A 21168-nucleotide genomic window follows, 5' to 3' on the forward strand; every position below is an offset into this window, starting at 1 on the left:
TTTATTAAGAGATGGGGTCTACCAATGTTGCCTAGGCTCACTGCAACCTCGAATTCCCAGGCTCAAGCAATTCTCCCACCTCAGTCTCCTGAGTAGCTTTGGAACTACTGGTGGGCACCACAACACCTGGCTAAATTTTTTTTTTTTTTTTTTTTTTTTTTGAGACAGAGTCTTGCTCTGTTGTCCTGGCTGGAGTGCAGTGCCAAGATCTTGGCTGACTGCAGCCTCCACCCCCCGAGTTCAAGCAATTCTCCTGCCTCAGCCTCCCATGTGGCTGGGACTACCAGCGTGCGCCACCACATCCAGCTAATTTTTGTAATTTTAGTAGAGACAGGGTTTCACCATATTGGTCAGCCTGGTCTCGAACTCCCGACTTCAGGTGATCCACCAGCCTAGGCCTCCCAAAGTGCTGGGATTACAGGTGTGAGCCACCACACCCAGCCAAATTTTTTTTTTAAGTGAATAAAAAATGGCTAGGCATAAGCCACCATGCCCAGCCAAAAAATCAATTCTTGTGATCATATCATCACACAAACTCTTCCCTCCTAGCACATAGGTTTGGAGTACTAGGTTCCCTTACTTACTTGAACAGAATGATTTTTTTTTTTTTTTTTTTTTTTTTTTTTGAGACAAAGTTTTGCTTTTGTTGCCCAGGCTGGACTGTAATCATGTGATCTCAGCTCACTGTAACCTCTACCTCCCGGAGGGTTCAAGTGATTCTCCTGCCTCAGCTTCCTGTGTAGCTGGGATTATAGGCATCTACCACCATGCCCAGCTAATTTTTGCATTTTTAGTTGAGACGGGGTTTCACCATGTTGGCCAGGCTGGTCTCAAAACTCCTGATCTCAGGTGATCCACCTGCCTTGGCTTCCCAAAGTGCTGGGATTACAGGCGTGAGCCATCACGCCCAGCTAATGAGTTCATTTTTTTAAAAAAAATCTTCACAGTTCAAGAAAAAAAGTCAGTATTTAAATTAGTTTCAAGGACAGACACAGTGGCTCACGGCTGTAATCCCAGCACTTTGGGAGGCCAAGGTGGGAGGATCACTTGAGGCCAGGAGTTCAAGATCAGCCTGGCCAACATGGCAAAACCCCATCTCCACTAAAAGTATAAAAATTAGCCAGGTGTGGTGGTGCACACCTGTAATCCCAGCTACTTGGGAGACTGAGGCAGGGAAATCCGTTTAACCCAGGAGACAGAGGTTGCAGTGAGCCAAGATTGCACCACTGCACTCCAGCCTGGGTAACAAAGTGAGATTCTGTCTCAAAAAAAATTAGTTTCAGAGTTCCAAATATTACCACTCCTGTCTCAAATTAGGTTTAAGGCACTCCTGTGAACAGGCAGATTCTATAGGTATAAATTAAGATGTCATTTCCCTAGAGAGGCTAAGAAATAAATACATTCAACAAATATTTGATGAATTAAAGGAATGAGATGAAGATATCTGGAGAAAACGACTCATTCGATCCACCATTCATTCTGCACACATTGTGTCAGGCAAGATGCTCAGTATCAGACACAGAATATAGGAAAGTACAAGTAACCAGCTGGGTGTGGTCACTCATGCCTATAATCCCAGCACTTTGGAAGGCCAAGGCTGGGGAGGACTGCTTGAGGCCAGGAGTTTGAGACCAGTCTGGACAACACAGCAAGACCCTCATTCTCTACAAAAAATATTTTTAAAAAAGTTTTTAAAAGAAAGTACAAGAAGGTACACATACCCTTTCACAAGTCACAGTGATATCTTACTAAAATGCCTGGAGCCACAAGAAGCCTGTTTTCCCTTCAAATGAAAAGTAGGTTAAAACTGGATTCACCAAATCTCACAGAAGAAAAAAGTACACACACTGAACTTTTTTAGTTTTTTATTTTGATTCCTATGGCTGGACAAGGTATCTACATTCTAGAACATCTTCTTAATCCCTAAACAAGTGGAAATCTACTACTTATATATAAAAAGACAAGTAGAAAAGGTCATGATTGTCTAACAGGGAACATGAATCCCCAAATAAATTATCTTACAAAAATATCATACTTGCTTTTCTACTTTTTTACTATACTGGTAAAAATGAAATGAAAAAAATAATTCACATTAAAATAAAATCTGTAGGGTGGCATAGAAGACAATTATTTTTACATATTAAAGTCCTTCAAATAAATATTTTACACACAAATTTAAGTAAGTTTTTAAAAAAAATAAGTATTTACGCTATATTTTTTTGCTCTGCTAAAAAGAGACCACTTATTAAACTGACATTAAACTGGACTGCAGCTCATTCTCTGCAAAGAGTAAAATGCATGTCACAGGCAGATTGGATACACACGTGCATATTACATACATATGAAATGGCTAACACTGCTGTGCATACTACTGCCATAACTAGTTTTACCCTGTAAAAATACTGTAGCCTATACTGTATCAAATTGCAATGAAAGAACAAAAGGTACTACTTGCCTATTTTAGACACTTGGTCAAGCATTTAAAAAAATACAAAAATTGGTCCACTGCAGTGGCTCACACCTGTAATCCTAGCACTTTGGAAGGCTGAGGTGGGTGGAACACCTGAGGTCAGGAGTTCAAGACCAGCCTGGCCAACATGGTGAAACCCTGTCTCTACTAAAAATACAAAAATTAGCCAGGTGTGGTGGCCGACGCCTGTAATCCCAGCTACTCAGGAGCCTGAGGCAGGAGGATCGCTTGAACGTGGGAGGCAGAGGTTGCAGTGAACTGAGATCACACCACTGCACTCCAGCCTGAGTGACAAGAGTGAGACTCCGTCTCAACAAAAAAAGAAAAAGTTATAATGTTTTGGGGACTTAAAGATTACTGAAGAGGGGATAAAAGTCAACACTGCTTACAAATACCTGAACATGGAGAGCACAGTCAACACATTCATGTGGACAGCACATGAACGGATGTATTAATACATTACACAGCTTCTTCTATCTGACCTATTCCTCTTGTTCTAAAGAGTTACATGGACTTGGATCCTTTAAGATGATTTTAAAAATAATATTACATTAAGTTTTCCTGGTCTAATAACCAACTTTGAGAAGTACAGTGGAAGGGTATAGAACTTCCTATATCTTCTATACTTTTAATGCCAATTTGATTTTTATTGTGATGTGATATTTAACAGTATGCTAAAAATAAAATTGACTGAATTGTATGATTTTGTCCACAACATTGAAGTCTCTTTTTGCTAAAATATTACAAAATGAATCCAGTAAACACTTTCCAATGGCCTAAGTTAGAGATGAATTCAACTTTTTTTTTAAAGCAATTACAACTACGCTGGGCTGAGGACAGCTACGTTAGACCCTGAAAACCAAAGCCAAGCACCCAAACATCTAAAACACTAACACTTTCCATCCAGGATAGAAAAATGAGCATCCAAAGTAAAGAGAACCACAAGACTGATCAAGTAACCAGTCAAAAACCACTTCTCTATTATTTGAACTTATAGTTACTCGAAGCTTGAAGTGTCCACCTTCATTATTACTGGTGGTTCCTAGAGTCACGGCTTCAATGTCAAACGTGACAGTGGACCCAGAAGTAACTGCGGGTAACTGATTTGTCATTTCTTTTCCATTGACAAAAACTGCACCTAAAATGTTAAGGTAAAGAGTCATTTACATGTGAGCAATAACTAAGAGATCTGAAATAGTTTCTAGATTACTGGTAACACAGCTCATTTCCTAATTCAGATTTTAAAAAATCTGGAATGCCAACTGGACATAGATTTTAGAGTTCTGTCCAGGGTTGTACTCTTCCAGCAGAGACTATGAGTTTCCCATATCAGTGTCATCAAAAGAAACTTGACAGTGTTACAAAATTACCTCCTGTGAAATAGCAAGACTATTTCTTATGGAATAAACAAGAAAGAATCTTGTTCTACCGAATTCTTGACTCACCAACACAATTTTTTTTTTTTTTTTGGAGACAGAGTTTCACTCTTGTTGCCCAGGCTGGAGTGCAGTGGCATGATCTGGACTCACTGCAACCTCCACCTCCCAGGTTTAAGCAGTTCTCCTGCCTGAGCCTCTCGGATTACAGGTATGTACCACCACGCCCAGCTAATTTTTGTATTTGTAGTGGAGACAGGGTTTCACCATGTTGGCCAGGATGGTCTCGATCTCTTGACCTTGTGATCCACCCACCTTGGCCTCCCAAAGTGCTAGGATTACAGGCGTGAGCCACCGTGCCCAGCCAACACCACAAAATATTATTAACATGTCTTGCTAGTGAATTTTTTTTTTTTTTTTTTTTTTTGAGACGGAGTCTCACACTGTTACCTGGCATGATCTCGGCTCACTGCAACCTCCGCCTCCCGGGTTCAAGCGATTTTCCTACCTCAGCCTCCCAAGTAGCTAGGATTACAGGCACCCGCCACCACACCTGGCTAATTTTCTGTATTTTTAGTAGAGACAGGGTTTCACTATGTTGGCCGGGCTGGTCTTGAACTCCTGACCTCGTGATTTGCCCGCCTTGGCCTCCCAAAGTGCTGGGATTAGAGGCGTGATCCACCGCGCCCGGCCTCTGGCTAGCGATTTTTAAAGAGCACTAGGGATGTAGACTGAATGATTTATTATTTGTAGAATTTAGAACAATGCCTGGTACATGGTAGTCACATAAATTATGTCATTAAGACCAAAACTTTCAGCCAGCCACGGTGGCTCACGCCTGTAATCCCAGCACTTTGGGAGGCCACCAAGGTGGGAGGATTGCTGGAAACCAGGAGTCAAGACTCACCTGGGCAACAACTTATCTTTACAAAAAAGTAAAAATAAAAAAAATTAGCCAGTCACAGTGGCATGCACCTGTAGTCCCGGCTACTCAGGAGGCTGAAGTGGGAGGATGGCTTGGGCCCAAGAATTTCAGGCTGCAGCGGGCTACGATCATGCCACTGTACTCCAGCCTGAGTGATGGAGTGAGACTTCATAATAAAAAAAAAAAAAAAGAAAAAGAAAAATACCTAAATTTTCTCATCTCCTACTATAAATGTATGGAACTGGAACAGATTCACATATTACTAAAATAATTAATATATTTCCAAGAGAATGACAGTTATTTATCTCTTACCATTTGTACTAATGCACACAGCTTGATCCCGCTGCAGAGAGTCATATCCATCCTGTTTTTCTGCACACACTCCTATGCTATCTCTTCTGTCTGGCTGTCCCACAGTTTCAACTCTGTAAATGAAGTAGAAAGGTCATTTCATACTTTTAAAAATATAACATGAATGATACTTAACAGCCACTAGCTTAAAAAGAGCAATCTCACCACAATTGTTTTTTTCTAAATAGTACAGCAACCATGATTGAGTTCTTGCTATACTCCAGGCACTGTTCTAATTATTTTATATCTATCTATCATTCTTACAACAATCTATGAGGTAGGTGCTTTTTCTTTTTTGTTGAGACGGAGTCTCGCTCTGTCACCCAGGCTGAAGTGCGGTGGTGCGACCTTGGCTCACTGCAACCTCCGCCTCCCGGGTTCAAGCAGTTCTCTGCTTCAGCGTCCCAAGTAGCTAGGATTACAGGTGCCCGCCACCATACCCGGCTAAGTTTTCTATTTTTAATAGAGATGGGGTTTCACCATCTTGGCCAAGCTGGTCTTGAACTCCTGACCTTGTGATCCACCCACCTCGGCCTCCCAAAGTGCTGGGATTACAGGCGTGAGCCACTGCGTCCAGCCGGTAGGTGCTATTTTTAACATACCCATTTTATAAGTGAGGAAAATGAGGCACGAAAAGAAAAAAAGATTAAAAATAGCTAAATAACCTGATCCCGACTACCTGGCTGATGACTGGTGGAACCAGGACTCAAACACAGGCATTCTGACTCTAGAATCAATCAATCTATCTATCTATTTTTTTGAAATGGAGTTTCATCCTTGTTGCCCAGGCTGGAGTGCAATGGCGCGATCTCAGCTCACTGCAACCTCTGCCTCCCTGGTTCAAGCGATTCTCCTGCCTCAGCCTCCTGAGTAGCTGGGATTACAGGGATGCACCACCATGCCCGGCTAGTTTTGTATTTTTAGTAGAGACGGGGTTTCACCATGTTGGTCAGGCTGGTCTCGAACTCCTGACCTCAGGTGATCCGCCTGCCTCGGCTTCCCAAAGTGCTGGGATTAGAGGCGTGAGCCACCACACCTGGCCTAATTTTGTATTTGTAGTAGAGACACGGTTTCACCATGTTGCTCAGGCTGGTCTTGGAACTCCTGACCTCAGGTGATCCACCCTCCTTGGCCTCCCAAAGTGCTGGGATTACGGAGTGAGCCACCGTGCCCGGCCTAGAATCTATATTCTTAACCATTTGTAGCCATGATGGCACACTTCTATTTTATATTCTAGCTCTAGACACATAGAAGGTTTGTCATAGTTGACATTATAATTTATGTAACTATTGCTGCCAGCGCCTAAATCTTCCATATAAGAATTTGCAATGATTTGATTACTATTTGTTAAGTAAATAAAGCATTTAAAAAGAACTATTATAATCCTAAAAAATCCCATTATGGTTATGAAGACACTATTCAAGCATGAAGAACTTCCTATGTGGCAAGTTTAAGCTTTTCCTTTTGTGTTTTCATTTCAGATGTCAGTACTTTGTGTGCTCTTGAAATAGGAAATGTACAGATCCCTATTGCCAGACACATCATTCTCTCCATCCAGAAAGCCAACTTTGCAAGGACAAAAAAAAAAATTAGTGTGAAACAAAATGTGGCTTTTCCAAAGACAGATGTGATTATTTATAGTCAATGTGGCCTCAAAATGTCATTGATTGTGAAATAGCAAACATGCAGGATCATAATATTTGGGTAGGTTTCTGAAGTTATTTCATATCTGAGCAGTCTAAAGAAGTATGGGGAGGAGGGGCCGGGCATAGTGGCTCACACCTGTAATCCCAGCACTTTGGGAGGCCAAGGAGGGTGGATCACCTGAGGTCAGGAGTTCCAAGACCACCCTAGGCAACATGGTGAAACCCCGTATCTACAAAAAATACAAAAATTAGCTGGGTGTGGTAGTGGCTCCTGTAATCCTAGCTACTCAGGAGGCTGAGGTGAGAGGGTCACTTGAACCTGTGAGATGGCGATTGCAGTGAGCTGAGATCATGCCACTGCACTTCAACCTGGGCGACAGAGCGAGACCTTGTCTTAAACAAAAAGAGGGGGAGAGCTGGGGAGGGGAATGAGAAAGAAAATAGGCCGGGTGCAGTGGCTCACGCCTGTAATCCCAGCACTTTGGGAGGCCGAGGTGGGCGGATCACAAAGTCAGGAGATTGAGACCATCCTGGCTAACACGGTGAAACCCCGTCTCTACTAAAAATACAATAAATTAGCCGGGCGTGGTAGCAGGCGCCTGTAGTCCCAGCTACTCAGGAGGCTGAGGTGAGAGGGTCGCTTGAACCTGAGAGGTGGAGGTTGCAGTGAGCCGATTGTGCCATTGCATTCCAGCCTGGGCAACAGAATGAGACTTTGTCTCAAAAAAAAAAAAAGAAAAGAAAAGAAAAGAAAGAAGGAAACCTTAAAAAAAATCAGAAAATCTTAGAAGCAAGGAAAGAGCAGGAATGTTCACATAGGAAGTGAGGGAGACCTGGAAGGAGGGGGTTGCTAGCAGACCTGGGCATCTAATGAGAGTGGGTCTAGAGACTGTTAAAATCCAGCCAGTATCACAGGTTTCTCTGGCTTCAGCAGCTCCAAGCCTTCCAGAAGCTTCAGCAGGGACTGACTGGGATAAATAACAAAGTAGTGCCTTCTTTTTTTTTTTTTTTTTTTTTTTTTTGAGACAGCATCTCACTCTGTTGCCCCGGCTAGAGTACAGTGGCGTGATCTCGGCTCACTGCAACCTCCGCCTCCTGGGTTCAAGCGATTCTCCTGCCTCAGCCTCCTGAGTAGCTGGGATTACAGGCACACACCACCACGCCCGGCTAATTTTTGTATTTATAGTAGAGATGGGGTTTCACCATATTGGCCAGGCTGGTCTCGAACTCCTGACCTCGTGATCTGCCCACCTCAGCCTCCCAAAGTGCTGGGATTACAGGCGTGAGCCACCGTGCCCGGCTAACGTAGTGCCTTCAAGAGTATAGTCTCCCTTCTAACTACTAGGCCCTTAAGTACCCTCAAAAAACTAAATATTGTTTCTCTTGATTCAAGTAGGCGCACTTGCTCCTCCCTTATGCCCTTATGCATGGAGTCCCCCTTGCATTCACATCTCTGGCTTCACTGCTGATGCCTGAAATTCCTTTAAACAAGGGGAGAAAACATTTCATTCCACAAAGAAAAAAATGACAAAAATGCAAAAGGCTGGCTACCATTATATTGAGTTTAACTGAATTTCAGTTAATCACCCTGCCAAGTGGGGCCTGGTGATGCATCTTTAGGAGATGCAAGAGAGACTCAACAGTTTATTGAGACCTAATGTGTCTTTCACATCACGGTCAGCAGAGGTGAATTTAAATCAATTTGTATAATTTCCAATGTCTTAATAAATATTTACTGAATGGTCTAAGAAATAAACCTAACTATGCAATCTATCAGACATTACCATGTGTCCAAGGAGGAAGAATTTAAAAAGCAGGAGAGCATCAGATCAAGTGGTGAAAGGTCATAAGAGGTAAAAGTTAAAGAGCTAAGGACACAGTAATAGAGAAACTGTAGACTTCAACACTAACTAGAATCATGTTAACTCTCCCATGAAAAAGAAGCAATACAGACCAGTCTGGAGTCGAACTGCCTGGATTTAAACCCTAGTTTTGGCATTTACTAGCTGTGTGACACTGGGTAAATAACTTCTCTATGCCTCAGTTTCCTCATCCCTAAAATAAATAACCCATCTATCTCACTGGGTTACCATGAAAATCAAATGAGTTAATACAAGTAAAATACTTAAGACAGTACATGGCACATAGTAAATACTGTTTAAATATTAACTGCAATTATTATTATTATCATCATTATTGCAGTCTGAGATATCTGGCCTGAATTTATCAAGTTAGGAAGCTCTGTCATTGCACAGAAATACCTTGTTCTCAGGAGAGTCACTAACCGAAGTGCTTCTGTAAACAAGGGACATAAGCAGAGAAGGGGTATGTAAGTACAGAAAACTCATGATTACCTGGGGAATAGTTAAATAGATTTTAGGTATTAGTTGTTTTTTTTTTTCCTCTCTCTCTCTTTGTTGGTATTTTTCTGTTTACTGAGTCATTCTTCATTAAGGGGTGAGGTGTCAAAAATTAGACAAAACAAACTAGTATAATCTGACAACCGCTGACAATTCAAATTACTTAGCTGGAGAGGAATACAGCAACACTGGCTTAGATAAAATATTCAGATATTCTCCATGCCTTAAATAATAAGGGCCTGAGAACAAAAGGAACTTGGGTCAAGCATTCACAATAAAATCCCATCTCAAGACTTAAAACTTAGAGGAGAGCTTGTTACACTAAGGTGAGTATGGTGAAAATCAGGCAAACTTTACTTCTCTAAGTCAAAACTGGTCTTTAGTTTCTACGAAGAGCTATTCAGAAACATGACTATAAAGAATACATCTCAGATAACATGAAAACAAGAAAAAAGAAACTTTTCCATTACAGAAAGAAATGGGTAGAGAAACAACATTAATTAGTGGTAGGGGAGGCTTGCTTTCAGTTTTACTTTAGAGAGTAGCATATACATAATATGTTTACAGTGTTGTCTCTTACAAAGACTTGCTGTTAATGATTCACAAAGGACAAAACAAATTCTTGGCCAGTAAATTTTTTTGCTTTTTTTTTTTTTTTTTTTTTTTTTTTCCAGACGGAATCTTGCACTGTCTCCCAGGCTGGAGTGCAGTGGCACGATCTCTGCTCACTGCAACCTCCGCCTCCAGGCTTCCAGTGATTCTCCTGCTTCAGCCTCCCGAGTAGCTGGGACTACAGGCGCACCTCACCACACCCAGCTAATTTTTAGTATTTTTAGTAGAGACGAGGTTTCACTATGTTGGCCAGGATGGTCTCGATCTCCTGACCTCGTGATCTGCCCACCTCGGCCTCCCAAAGTGCTGGGATAATATGCATGAGCCACAGTGCCCGGCCTATGCTTTTTTTCTTTTTTTTGAGACGGAGTCTCGCTCAGTCACCCAGGCTGGAGTACAGTGGCGCGATCTCAGCTCACTGTAACCTCTGCCTCCCAGGCTCAAGCAATTCTCATGCCTCAGCCTCCTGAGTGGCTGGGATTATAGGTGTGTGCCACCACACCCTGCTAATTTTTTTTTTCTTTTTGAGACGGGTCTTGCCCTGTTGCCAGGCTGAAGTGCAATGGCTCACTGCAACATTTGCCTCCCGGGTTCAAGTGATTCTCCTGCCTCACTCTCCCTAGTTGCTGGGATTACAGGTGTGCACTACCACATCCAGCTAATTTTTGTATTTTTAGTAAAGATGGGGTTTCACCATGTTGGCCAGGGTGGTGTCTTGATCTCCTAACCTTGTGATCCACCCACCTCAGCCTCCCGAAGTGCTGGGATTACAGGCGGGAGCCATTGCGCCTGTCCTAATATTTGTATTTTTAGTAAAGATGGGGTTTTACCAGGTTGACCAGGCTGGTCTCGAACTCCTGACCACAAGTGATCCAACCGCCTCGGCCTCCCAAAGTGCTGGGATTACAAGTGTGAGCCACTGCGTCCAGTCTCTTGGCCTCTAAAATTTTTTTTTTTTTTGAAACGGAGTCTTGCTGTGTCGCCCAGGCTGGAGTGCAGTGGCGTGATCTCGGCTCACTGCAAGCTCCGCCTCCCGGGTTCACGCCATTCTCCTGCCTCAGCCTCCCGAGTAGCTGGGACCACAGACACCCACCACCATGTCCGGCTAATTTTTTTATTTATAGTAGAGATGGGGTTTCACCATGTTAGCCAGGATGTTCTCAATCTCCTGACCTCGTGATCCGCCCGCCTCAGCCTCCCAAAGTGCTGGGATTACAAGTGTGAGCCACCGTGCCTGGCCAGGCCTCTAAATTTTTAAGATTTACTTTTTAATTTTGTGTGTGTGTTTGAGACACAGTTTCGCTCTTGTTGCCCAGGCTGGAGTGCAATGGCATGATCTCAGCTCACTGCAACCTCTGCCTCTTGGGTTCAAGCAATTCTCCTGCCTCAGCCTCCCAAGTAGCTGGGATTGCAGGCATATGTGCCACCATGCCCGGCTGATTTTGTATTTTTAGTAGAGATGGGGTTTCTCCATGTTGCTCAGGTTGGTCTCGAACTCCCGACCTCAGGTGATCCACCTGCCTCGGCCTACCAAAGTGCTGGGGTTACAGGTGTGAACCACTATGCCCAGCCTAAGATTGACTTTTGAGAGATACTCTACTTACCTCTACTTACCAAGAGGAAAAGAGATATAAACATATTAAATAACAAGCATTTTATATACATTTCCCAGTTAATCTACGTAATAACCCTGTGAATACAGATGAGAAAACTACAGCTACAGGAAATAAAGAAGCCTTCCCACAGTAACACTGCCTATAAATGACGGAATAAACTCAGGATGTTTTGAATTCAAAGCTTATGTATGCTCTATGCACTTCACTCTGCTTCCTGAGGCAGGTGAGATGTTTTAATATCTACTTGCCTGAATGTTAATGTCTGCCCACAGAAATAAGTCGGAGCTCTGGAGTAGAGAACACCCGATGATTCAGAATCGTTCCGAAGTGCTATATTTCTTCGACTGCTCAGACTGTACCCCTCAAAACCAGCTGTCCACTCTTTTTCAAAGCAAAGATATTGAAAACTGTTAGAATCTCTTGAGGGATATCTTCAATACAGACACGTTAAATAAAACATGGAAATGGGAGACTACTCTTAGGGGCCATGGTCAAGTTCAATAAAATAAAAGATTCCATTAACAGGGTATCATGATCAGTCCCACAAATTACAAAAGATTTTAGTATATTCCTGCATAATTTTGACATAATAAATCACACAAGTGTTATCTCTTATCTAATAAAATCATTGTACAAGCATAATTGCTTGAACTTATTCCAACCTGATAAAAATCTAATTAATAGGCCAGGCGCGGTGGCTCACGCCTGTAATCCCAGCACTTTGGGAGGCCGAGGCAAGAGGATTGCTTGAGCCCAGGAATTTGAGACCAGCCTGGGCAACATAGCAAGACCCAGTCTCTAGAAAAAAATAAAAAATTAGCCAGGTGTGGTGTGCATGCAGGTGGTCCCAGCTACTTGGGAGACTGAGGCAGAAGGATCTAGAGGTCAGGCTGCATGATTGCACCACCACACACCAGCCTGGGCGACAGAGTGAGACCTTGTCTCAAAAAAACTAACTAAATAACATTCAAATATAAAAAAAAGAATAAAAAGGAATATCAGTGCCCTACATAATATTTTCAATCTTTGGTTTTCAATGAGGCTAAAAATCTTGTCCAGCATTTTTTTTGGACTCTGAAGAACTGATGAAAACAAAAATCACATGAGGTAATCTGAGTAAAAGACATGGTGCATGTTGTTCTTATCAATTCAGGATCTATGCTTAGAATAGCTGGTTGTCAGTGTGCTGCCCTTAGCACAGAATACAGGTATTCTAATATATAGTTAGGCTTCAGGAGAGAAAAGGTTAGCAGCATACCATGAGGCACCAATGTGGAATGACCTATCTGGGGGACACTCCAAGGACTCCACTCCTGTCGGCCATCTCCTCGGGCGCAGACTCTGAACTGGTAATCAACGTTGGGGTCTATGTGCAATACTATGAATTCAGTTTCAGAACCTACATATACATCCTCAAAATGATTTGAAGTACATTTACGAAACTGGAGCCTGTAATCTTGGGCTGTAAAGTCATCATCCACCTAGGGAGAAAAGCTTTATGTTAGGTAAAAAACAGAAAATGACTTCTCTCAGCATCACTGCTTAAAAATTTTGAACGGAGCCATTTTGGACCAAGCAGACAGGCCCACATGCTGAATATGGGGTATTCTTGGGAAGGCCATAGAAAATATGCCATCACATCATTATCTCCCTTCTTTTTTTTTTGAGAAAGGGTCTCACTTTGTCACCCAGGCTGTAGTGCAGTGGCGTGATCTCGGCTTATTGCAGCCTCCACACCCCGGGTTCAAGCCATCCTCTTCCTTCCACCCCACAAGTAGCTGGGATTTCAGGTGCACACCACCATGTCCGGCTAATTTTTTGTATTTTTTGTAGAGACTGGGCTTCACCATATCTCAGATCTTTAACTCCTGAGCTCAAGCAATCTTCTCGTCTCAGCCTCTCAAAGTGCTAGGACTATAGGCGTGAGACACTGCGCCTGGGCTCCCTTCTTTTCTTTATTGAACCATGTGTTCTGTATTTCCCAGTCTGATATAAAAAAGTCTGCCTCCTTTGAAGAAATGGCATGTTTTTTAATCAATGCCAAAGATAAAACATTCAAGATTCAGTAAGTCTCCCACAACCATACATCATTCATAATAACCAAGAGATAATTAACATACAGTATACAGAACCCCCATTAATTTTTAGGGGTCCTGCATATATTCTGTATGTTAATTAGCCACCCAATAGAAAAATGGGTAAAAGACATAAATAAGCGTTCTACAGGAGAAGAAACATAAATAGCCAAAAATGTATATTATGAATATTCAACCTAATTTGTACCTAATTTGTAATATGGCAAATACGATCTAAAACCACAACAAGGCCAGACATGATGGCTCATGCCTATAATCCTAACACTTTGAGAGGCCGAAGCGGGTGGAGCACTTGAGCCCAGGAATTTGAGGCCAGCCTAGGCAACACAGCAAAACCCCATCTCTACAAAAAATTACAAAACTTAGCTGGCTGTGGAAGCACATGCCTGAAGTCCCAATTACTTGGGGGCTGAGGCGGGAGGATCACTTGAGCCCAGGAGATTGAGACTGGAGACATGATTGTGCCACTGTACTCCAGCCTGGGTGACAGAGTGAGACCCTGTCTCAAAAACAAACAAATAAATAAAACCACAACAAGGTACATTTAGGCAAAAATATAAAGTCTCACAATGCCAATTATTGGTCAAGATATGGAATAACAGAAACTCATATACTCCTTGGAAGGCTAAATTGATAGAATCATCTTGTGGAAAGTTTGTTATTACCTATCAGCGTATGGATCCAATACTCTAAGAAGACCTCATAATTTTACACCTAGGTAAATATTAATATTTTACAAACTTCACATATGTCCATAAAGAAACACAAGTAAAAATACTTATAGCAAAAAACTGGAAATAACTAGGTCCACTGATAGGAAAAATAATAAAAATGGAATGACAGTCCTGTTAGAAAATAACAACAGCATGTTTATAAAAAAAGAAAAAAAAATTTCCTTTTAATAAAATCTCAGCTGGGCACAGTGGCTCACACCTGTAATCCCAGCACTTTGGGAGGCCGAGGTGGGCAGATCACCTGAGGTCGGGAGTTTGAGACCAACCTGACCAACATGGAGAAACTCTGTCTCTACTAAAAATACAAAAATACTAAAAATACAAACTTAGCCAGGTGTGGTGGCGCATGCCTTAATCCCAGCTACTTGGGAGGCTGAGGCAGGAGGATTGCTTGAACCCGGGAGACGGAGGTTGTGGTGAGCCAAGATCGTGCCATTGTATTCCAGCCTGAACAACAACAACGAAACTCTGTCTCAAAAAAAAAAAAAAAGAAAATGTCAGCCAGGCGGAGTGGCTCACACCTGTAATCCCAGCACTTTGGGAGGCCAAGGTGGGCAGATCACCTGAGGTCGGAGGTTGCATCGCTGCACTCCAGCCTGGGCGACACAGCAAGGCTTCATTTAAAAAAAAAAGGCCAGGCACGGCGGCTCACACCTATAATCCCAGCACTTTGGGTGGCCGAGGCGAGTGGGTCACCTGAGGTCAGGAGTTCAAGAACAGCCTGGCCAACATGGTGAAACCTCGTCTCTACAAAAAATACAAAAATTAGGCAGGTGTGATGGCAGGTGCCTATAATCCCAGCTACTCAGGAGGCCGAAGCAGGAGAATGGCTTGAACCCGGGGGAAGCGGCAGGCGGGGGAGGGCATGGAGGTTGCAGTAAGCCGAGATCACGCCACTTCACTCCAGCCTCGGTGAAAGAGCAAAACTCTGTCTCAAAAAATAAATAAATAAAATAAAAATAAAACTGGAAGAGCTACCTCAGTGTTCCATGTGACTTCATTTTAACTGTAAAGTAAAAGAGATTTTTGTTTGAGAAGAAAAGAATGTATTTAAAAGTAGTCAACGAAAAAATCTGAAAGGCCTCCAAATCGCAAACCCATAATGTGGAAGTCATTTCTAGAATTCTGAATTACATACCTTACACCATCGTACAATGATGCCTCCAGGTTTCTCTATTAGTTCTTCTATCTGTACTGGTGGGCGAGATGCTACTGTTCCATGCTTAAAAATGTGGTCTTTCACTATGTTAAGAATTGAGTCATCCAACTGAGCAGATAAACAAGGCACATCAACCAGTAAAGGTACTTCTGGTAAGCTGAGGAAACAAAGCTCATGTGTTATGAGACCTCTAACTGAGAGTTAAAAAATACAAGAAATATTTTAGAGCAGTCACATGCTTGAAAGATCCTGAAGCCCCCAGTAATTAATTCTCATGGCAGTAGGGGATTTGCAAGATGTTACACAAAGATTCTCTTTTCAAATAAATATAAGTAAGACAGAAAATTGGTAGGATCATAACTGTCCAGTTTAAGCCAAAAGATCTGGTTTACTGGAATATGACTCCATTTCAACAATACATTGATAATTTCTAAAATTTAACAATTCTTTTATATATTGGATTGAAAAAATGTGTAGTAATACTATACCAAGGATTATAATCACAACTATTTCATTAGTAACAGTGGTAATGGGCAGTGAAACGCTTTTTTTTTTTTTTTTCAGACAGAGTCTCACTCTGTCCCCTAGGCTGGAGTGCTGTGGTGCGATCTCAGCTCACTGCAACCTCCACCTCCCCGATTCAAGCGACTCTCTTGCCTCAGCCTCTCGAGTAGCTGGGACTTACAGGCGCACGCCACCATGCCCGGATAATTTTTTATTTTATTTTATACTTATTTTGAGATGGAGTCTTGCTGTTGCCCAGGCTGGAGTGTAGTGGTACAAACTTGGCTCACTGCAACATCTGCCTCCTGGGTTCAAGCAATTCTCCTGTCTCAGCCTCCCCAAGTAGCTGGATTACAGGTCCATGCCCGTCTAATTTTTATATTTTTAGTAGAGACAGGGTTTCAACATGTTGGCCAGGCTGGTCTCAAACTCCTGGCCTCAAGCAATCCACCCGCCTTGGCCTCCCAACGTGCTGGGATTACAGGTGTAAACCACCACGCATGGTCTGAAAACCTTGAAATATATATTCTCTATCTCCCTTAATGAGAATCTTGAACAGAGGGAGGAAAAAAGCAGACATAGTTTAAATGCTTAAAAGTAAGTCAAAAAGGCACAAACTCTTTTACCTGTCCAACTGAATGTGCGAGGCCTTTTTGGTAAAGCTCCACAGTTTCTCATTCTCTTCTCCCACACCACCAAGCATGGCGATTTCACCTACAATCAAGAATAAGAGAACTAGAACAATGAAAATGGTCACATATAAAGTAATCAACACAACTCATGTCTGGGTGGGTCTCTAGCGTTCTTGCAAATAAGTTCTTAAGTGATGCCACAGTCAAATTCCCAAAAAGTTAAAGTAGAAACTATTTTAGACGTGACTCTAAGATCAAATCCAAGAGGAAAAGGGATATACAGTGGCAACATTTTGCCAGAGATGAAAAATCTATCTACTCTATACAAGGAAATCAACCAATTTTAGGCAAAGCAGAAAGCCCAGGGACTTCTTTCCATCTCTCCTACAGAATCATTATGAACTTCAATAGGAGCCAGTACAAAATATTGCCCTGAGAGGTGCAACAGGGGATAGGGTGTTTTTTTTTTTTTTTTTGAGACTGGGTCTTGTTCTGTCACTCATGCTGGAGCACAGTGGTAGGATCATAACTCACTGCAGCCTTGAACTTCCAGGTTCAAGCAATCCTCCCATCTCAGCCTCCCAAGTAGCTGTGACCACACGTGCACGCCACCATGCCCAGCTATTTTTTTTTTTTTTTTTTTGGTAGAGATGAGGTCTCACTATGTTGCCCAGGCTGGGCATAAGGCTTGAAAAGCCAAATGATGCATCTATGTTTTCCTAAAAGAGTATCATATATCAGATTACAAATTATTCAACAGAACAATAAAAAGAAAATGTCAGGCTGGGTGCGGTAGCTCACGCCTGTAATCCCAGCACTTTGGGAGGCGGAGGCAGGTGGATCACGAGGTCAGGAGATCAAGACCATCCTGGCCAACATGGTGAAACCCTGTCTCTACTAAAAATACAAAAATTAGTTGGGTGTGGTGGCAGGTGCCTGTATTCCCAGCTACTAGGGAGGCTGAGGCAGGAGAATCACTTGAATCCGGGACATGGAGGTTGCAGTGAGCCGAGATCACGCCACTGCACTCCAGCCTGGGCAAAAGAGCGAGACTCCGTCCCCCCCGCCAAAAAAAAAAGTTACATAGAGGCATATGATATGAAAATGACCAACTTCTATGTCCTTCCACAGCCCTGAAGAACACTGCCAGAACTCTTTTCCATCTAAATGTGCCCTGTAGTTACTCAAGTTTTTTGAGACCATATGACCTTCTCCTTCACCAAAAGAAAAACAGAGACATGGCCGGGTACTGTGGCTCATGCCTATAATCTCAGCACTTTGGCAGGCTGAGGCTGGTGGGTCACCTGGGGTTGGGAGTTCAAGACTAGCTTGGCCAACATGATGAAACCCCGTCTCTACTAAAAATACAAAAAGTAGCTGGGCATAGTGGCACGCTCCTGTAGTTCTAGCTACTAGGGAGGCTGAGGCACTAGAATCGCTTGAACCCGAGAGGTGGAGGTTGCAGTGAGCCAAGATCGTGCCACTGCACTCCAGCCTGGGCAACAGTGTGAGACTCTGTCTCAAAAATAAGTAAATAAATAAATAAAATCCTCAAAATTCCATAAGTAAGTTTCTATCCCTCAGGAGAATAGGAAAGAGTTTGACATTAAAAATATTCCTAAAGTTTCCTTCTGCTGCTGAGATGTATAATAATTTTTTTTAATTAAAAAACATAGGCCAGGCACAGTGGCTCACGCCTGTAATCCCAGCACTTTGGGAGGCCGAGGTGGGCAAATCACGAGGTCAGGAGTGCTAGACCAGCCTGGCCAACATGGTGAAACTCTGTCTCTATTAAAAATACAAAAAATTTGCTGGGCGTGGTGGCGGGCGCCTATAATCCCAGCTACTCGGGAGGCTGAGGCAGGAAAATCGCTTGAACCTGCGAGGCGTAGGCTGCAGCAAGCTGAGATCGTGCCACTGCACTCCAGCCCAGGCAACAGTGCAACACGCCATCTCAAAAATAAATAAGTTAATTAATTAAATTAAATTTTGGACATACAAAAATATTCAAGTATCAAATGCTGTAACACTCACACTGCCTCAAAGGGATTTTTTCTTTTTGAGACAGAGTCTCACTCTGTCACCCAGGCTGGAGTGTGATGTATAATCACAGCTCACTGCAACCTCAAACTCTGGGGCTCAGGGGATCCTCCCGCCTCAGCCTCCCAAGTAGCTAGGACTACAGGAATGTGCCACTATGCCCAGCCAGGATTTATCTTTTTTTTTTTTTGAGATGGAGTCTTGCTCTTGTCGCCCAGACTGGAGTGCAATGGTGCAATCTCAGCTCACTGCAACCTCTTGCCTCAGCCTCCCGAGTAGCTAGGATTACAGGTGCCCACCACCATGCCCAGCTAATTTTTGTATTTTTAGTAGAGACGGGGTTTCACCATGTTGGCCAGGCTGGTCTTGAACTCCTGACCTCAGATGATCCGCCCCCCTCGGCCTCCCAAAGTGTTGTGATTACAGGCACGAGCCACCGCGCCCGGCCAGGATTTATCTTCTAAAATAAAAACAAATGATCAGTCCTCAGGGTGATGAGTGTACACTCCTGGCCCGTGGTGCACTGCTTCTGGGTTTGTTTCCAAATGCAAAGCCACCAAGGAAAGACATTTCATGGTACTGCTAGAATTTTCTCAAAAGTACTGTTATGGTCAGTGGCAAATAAACACTTCTCATTGAAGACAAGACAAAAATGTAACCAGCAATGTCAAGATAACACCCATACTATATTCTAAGTGGGACCAAAAGAAGATTAACTTCCAGGTGGAGTGACAGCCATGTGAATCATCCACGCCTTTTTCCCACACCACTCCCAGCACTCATTCTGCAGAAGAGATGGAATTCAGTCTCCTTCCCTAGCTCCTTTTTCCTCAAATGACTTTTAAATGTTGGTGACCCTTAGCGTTCTAATCTCTTTCATCTGCTCTTCTCACATTACACGGTGTCCCTTGATGATTGTACTTATTCCAATAGATTCAGATTTGATATATATGCCATTAACTGCCATACTGACATCTCCTGGTATGATCTCTCTCCTAAGAATCATACCCGTATTTCCATCTTAAGCACCTCAAACTCACCATGCCCAAGCCAAATGCCTAACTACGTACTAAGCACCCGCCTTCTCCTTCAATTCCTTTGTCAAAAACAGCACCACTATTTATTCAGAATCCAAAAGTAGGCTGATTTTTGTTATCACAAATCCTTTCCTTTCCCCTCCATCACATATGTAGGTAATCATCTACAGATAACAGTCACTGCTCAGTAAAATCATCAATAATTCTACTTCTTAAAAAAAAAAAAAACTCTGTCTTGTTTTTTTGTTTTTATTTTTAAGAGACAGGGTCTTGCTCTGTTGCCCAGGCTGGAGTGCAGTGCTGCAATCATAGCTCAAGCTCTCCCACCTCAGCCTCCTGAGTAGTTGGGACAACTTGTGTGTGCCACCATGCCTGGCTAATTTTTTTTTTTTTTTTTTTGAGACGGAGTCTCGCTCTGTCGCCCAGGCTGGAGTGCCATAGCACGATCTAGGCTCACTGCAAGCTCCGCCTCCTGGGTTCACGCCATTATCGTGCCTCAGCCTCCCGAGTAGCTGGGACTACAGGCGCCTGCCACCATGCCTGGCTAACTTTTTGTATTTTAAGTAGAGATGGGGTTTCACTGTGTTAGCCAGGATGGTCTTGATCTCTTGACCTTGTGATATGCCTGCCTCGGCCTCCCAAAGTGCTGGGATTACAGGTGTGAGCCACTGTGCTCAGCACGCCTAGCTATTTTTTTTTAAAAAAATTAGAGACAATCTCACTACATTGCCCAGACTGGTCTCGAACTCCTTACCTCAAATGATCCTCCTCTCCTGTCTAGGCTCCCAAAGTGCTGGGATTACAGGTGTGAGCCATTGTGCCTGGCTCAAAATCTCTTAAAATCAGCCCTGCCTCATCTTTACCAGCCACCGCCTTTACCATTCCTACCTGGATTACTTTCTAATAACTTTTTTTTTGAGATGGGGTCTCATTATCTTGCCCAGGCTGGTCTTGAACTCCTGGGCTCAAGTGATCCACCCGCCTCAGCCTCCCAAAGTGCTGGGATTACAAGCATGAACCACCGTGCCCAGTTTCTAATAATTTTTTTTTATTTTGAGACGGAGTCTCACTCTGTTGCCCAGGCTGGAGTGTAGTGTTGTGATCTTGGCTGACTGCAACCTTTGTCTCCCAGGTTCAAGTGATTCTCCTGCCTCAGCCTCCCGAGTAACTGGAATTACAGGTGCCCACCACCACGTCTGGCTAAATTTTGTATTTTTAGTAGAGATGGGGTTTTACCATGTTGGCCAGGTTAGTCTCAAACTCCTGACCTCAAGTGATCCTCCCATCTTGACATCCCAAAGTGCTGGGGTTATAGGTGTTAGCCTGGCCTCGGCCTCTAATAACTTTTTAATCAGTCTCTTTTCCCTCTAGTCTTACAATCTCTAACATAGTCTCCAAATAGGCAGGGTCATTTTTTTTTTAAATGCACATCTGATCCTGTCACTCTGCTGCTTAAAATGCTTCAACTAATCCTTGAATATGCCATTCACTCCACTTATGATAATGTTACTTCTGCTTGGAATCATGCTGTTACCTCCTCTTTTTCCTATGTCTGCTGGATGAATTGCTTCAAGCCTCTGTGGAACTCTTCCTACAGAAAGCTATCCCAC

At 43.0% G+C, this 21168-nt stretch overlaps 1 protein-coding gene and 1 pseudogene across 4 annotated transcripts in view; one reads left to right on the forward strand and one right to left on the reverse strand.

The window, feature by feature from the left end:
* Positions 1-11995, forward strand: part of SUZ12P1 (SUZ12 pseudogene 1) — an 83223-nt pseudogene extending 71228 nt beyond the window's left edge. Inside the window, exons 7-9 of one of the 2 annotated variants that reach the window (NR_144394.1) lie at positions 3948-4057; positions 6604-6826; positions 9803-11995. The product of NR_144394.1 is annotated as an SUZ12 pseudogene 1, transcript variant 3 (transcript). The remainder of the gene's footprint in view (positions 1-3947; positions 4058-6603; positions 6827-9802) is intronic. The other variant, NR_144395.1, reaches the window with a different exon arrangement.
* CRLF3 (cytokine receptor like factor 3) overlaps positions 1849-21168 on the reverse strand; it is a 42009-nt gene continuing 22689 nt past the window's right edge. For both annotated transcript variants that reach the window (NR_073118.2, NM_015986.4), the window contains 6 exons: positions 16476-16563; positions 15325-15502; positions 12615-12837; positions 11605-11737; positions 5084-5196; positions 1849-3608 (listed from right to left, as the gene is read on the reverse strand). Coding sequence is in view for 1 of the 2 variants with exons in the window: in NM_015986.4 (NP_057070.3) it covers positions 3352-3608; positions 5084-5196; positions 11605-11737; positions 12615-12837; positions 15325-15502; positions 16476-16563 (992 nt within the window). In the remaining variant the exon portion in view is untranslated. The remainder of the gene's footprint in view (positions 3609-5083; positions 5197-11604; positions 11738-12614; positions 12838-15324; positions 15503-16475; positions 16564-21168) is intronic.

The sequence above is a fragment of the Homo sapiens genome, chromosome 17, assembly GCF_000001405.40.
Source record: "Homo sapiens chromosome 17, GRCh38.p14 Primary Assembly".
Taxonomy (NCBI): domain Eukaryota; kingdom Metazoa; phylum Chordata; class Mammalia; order Primates; family Hominidae; genus Homo; species Homo sapiens.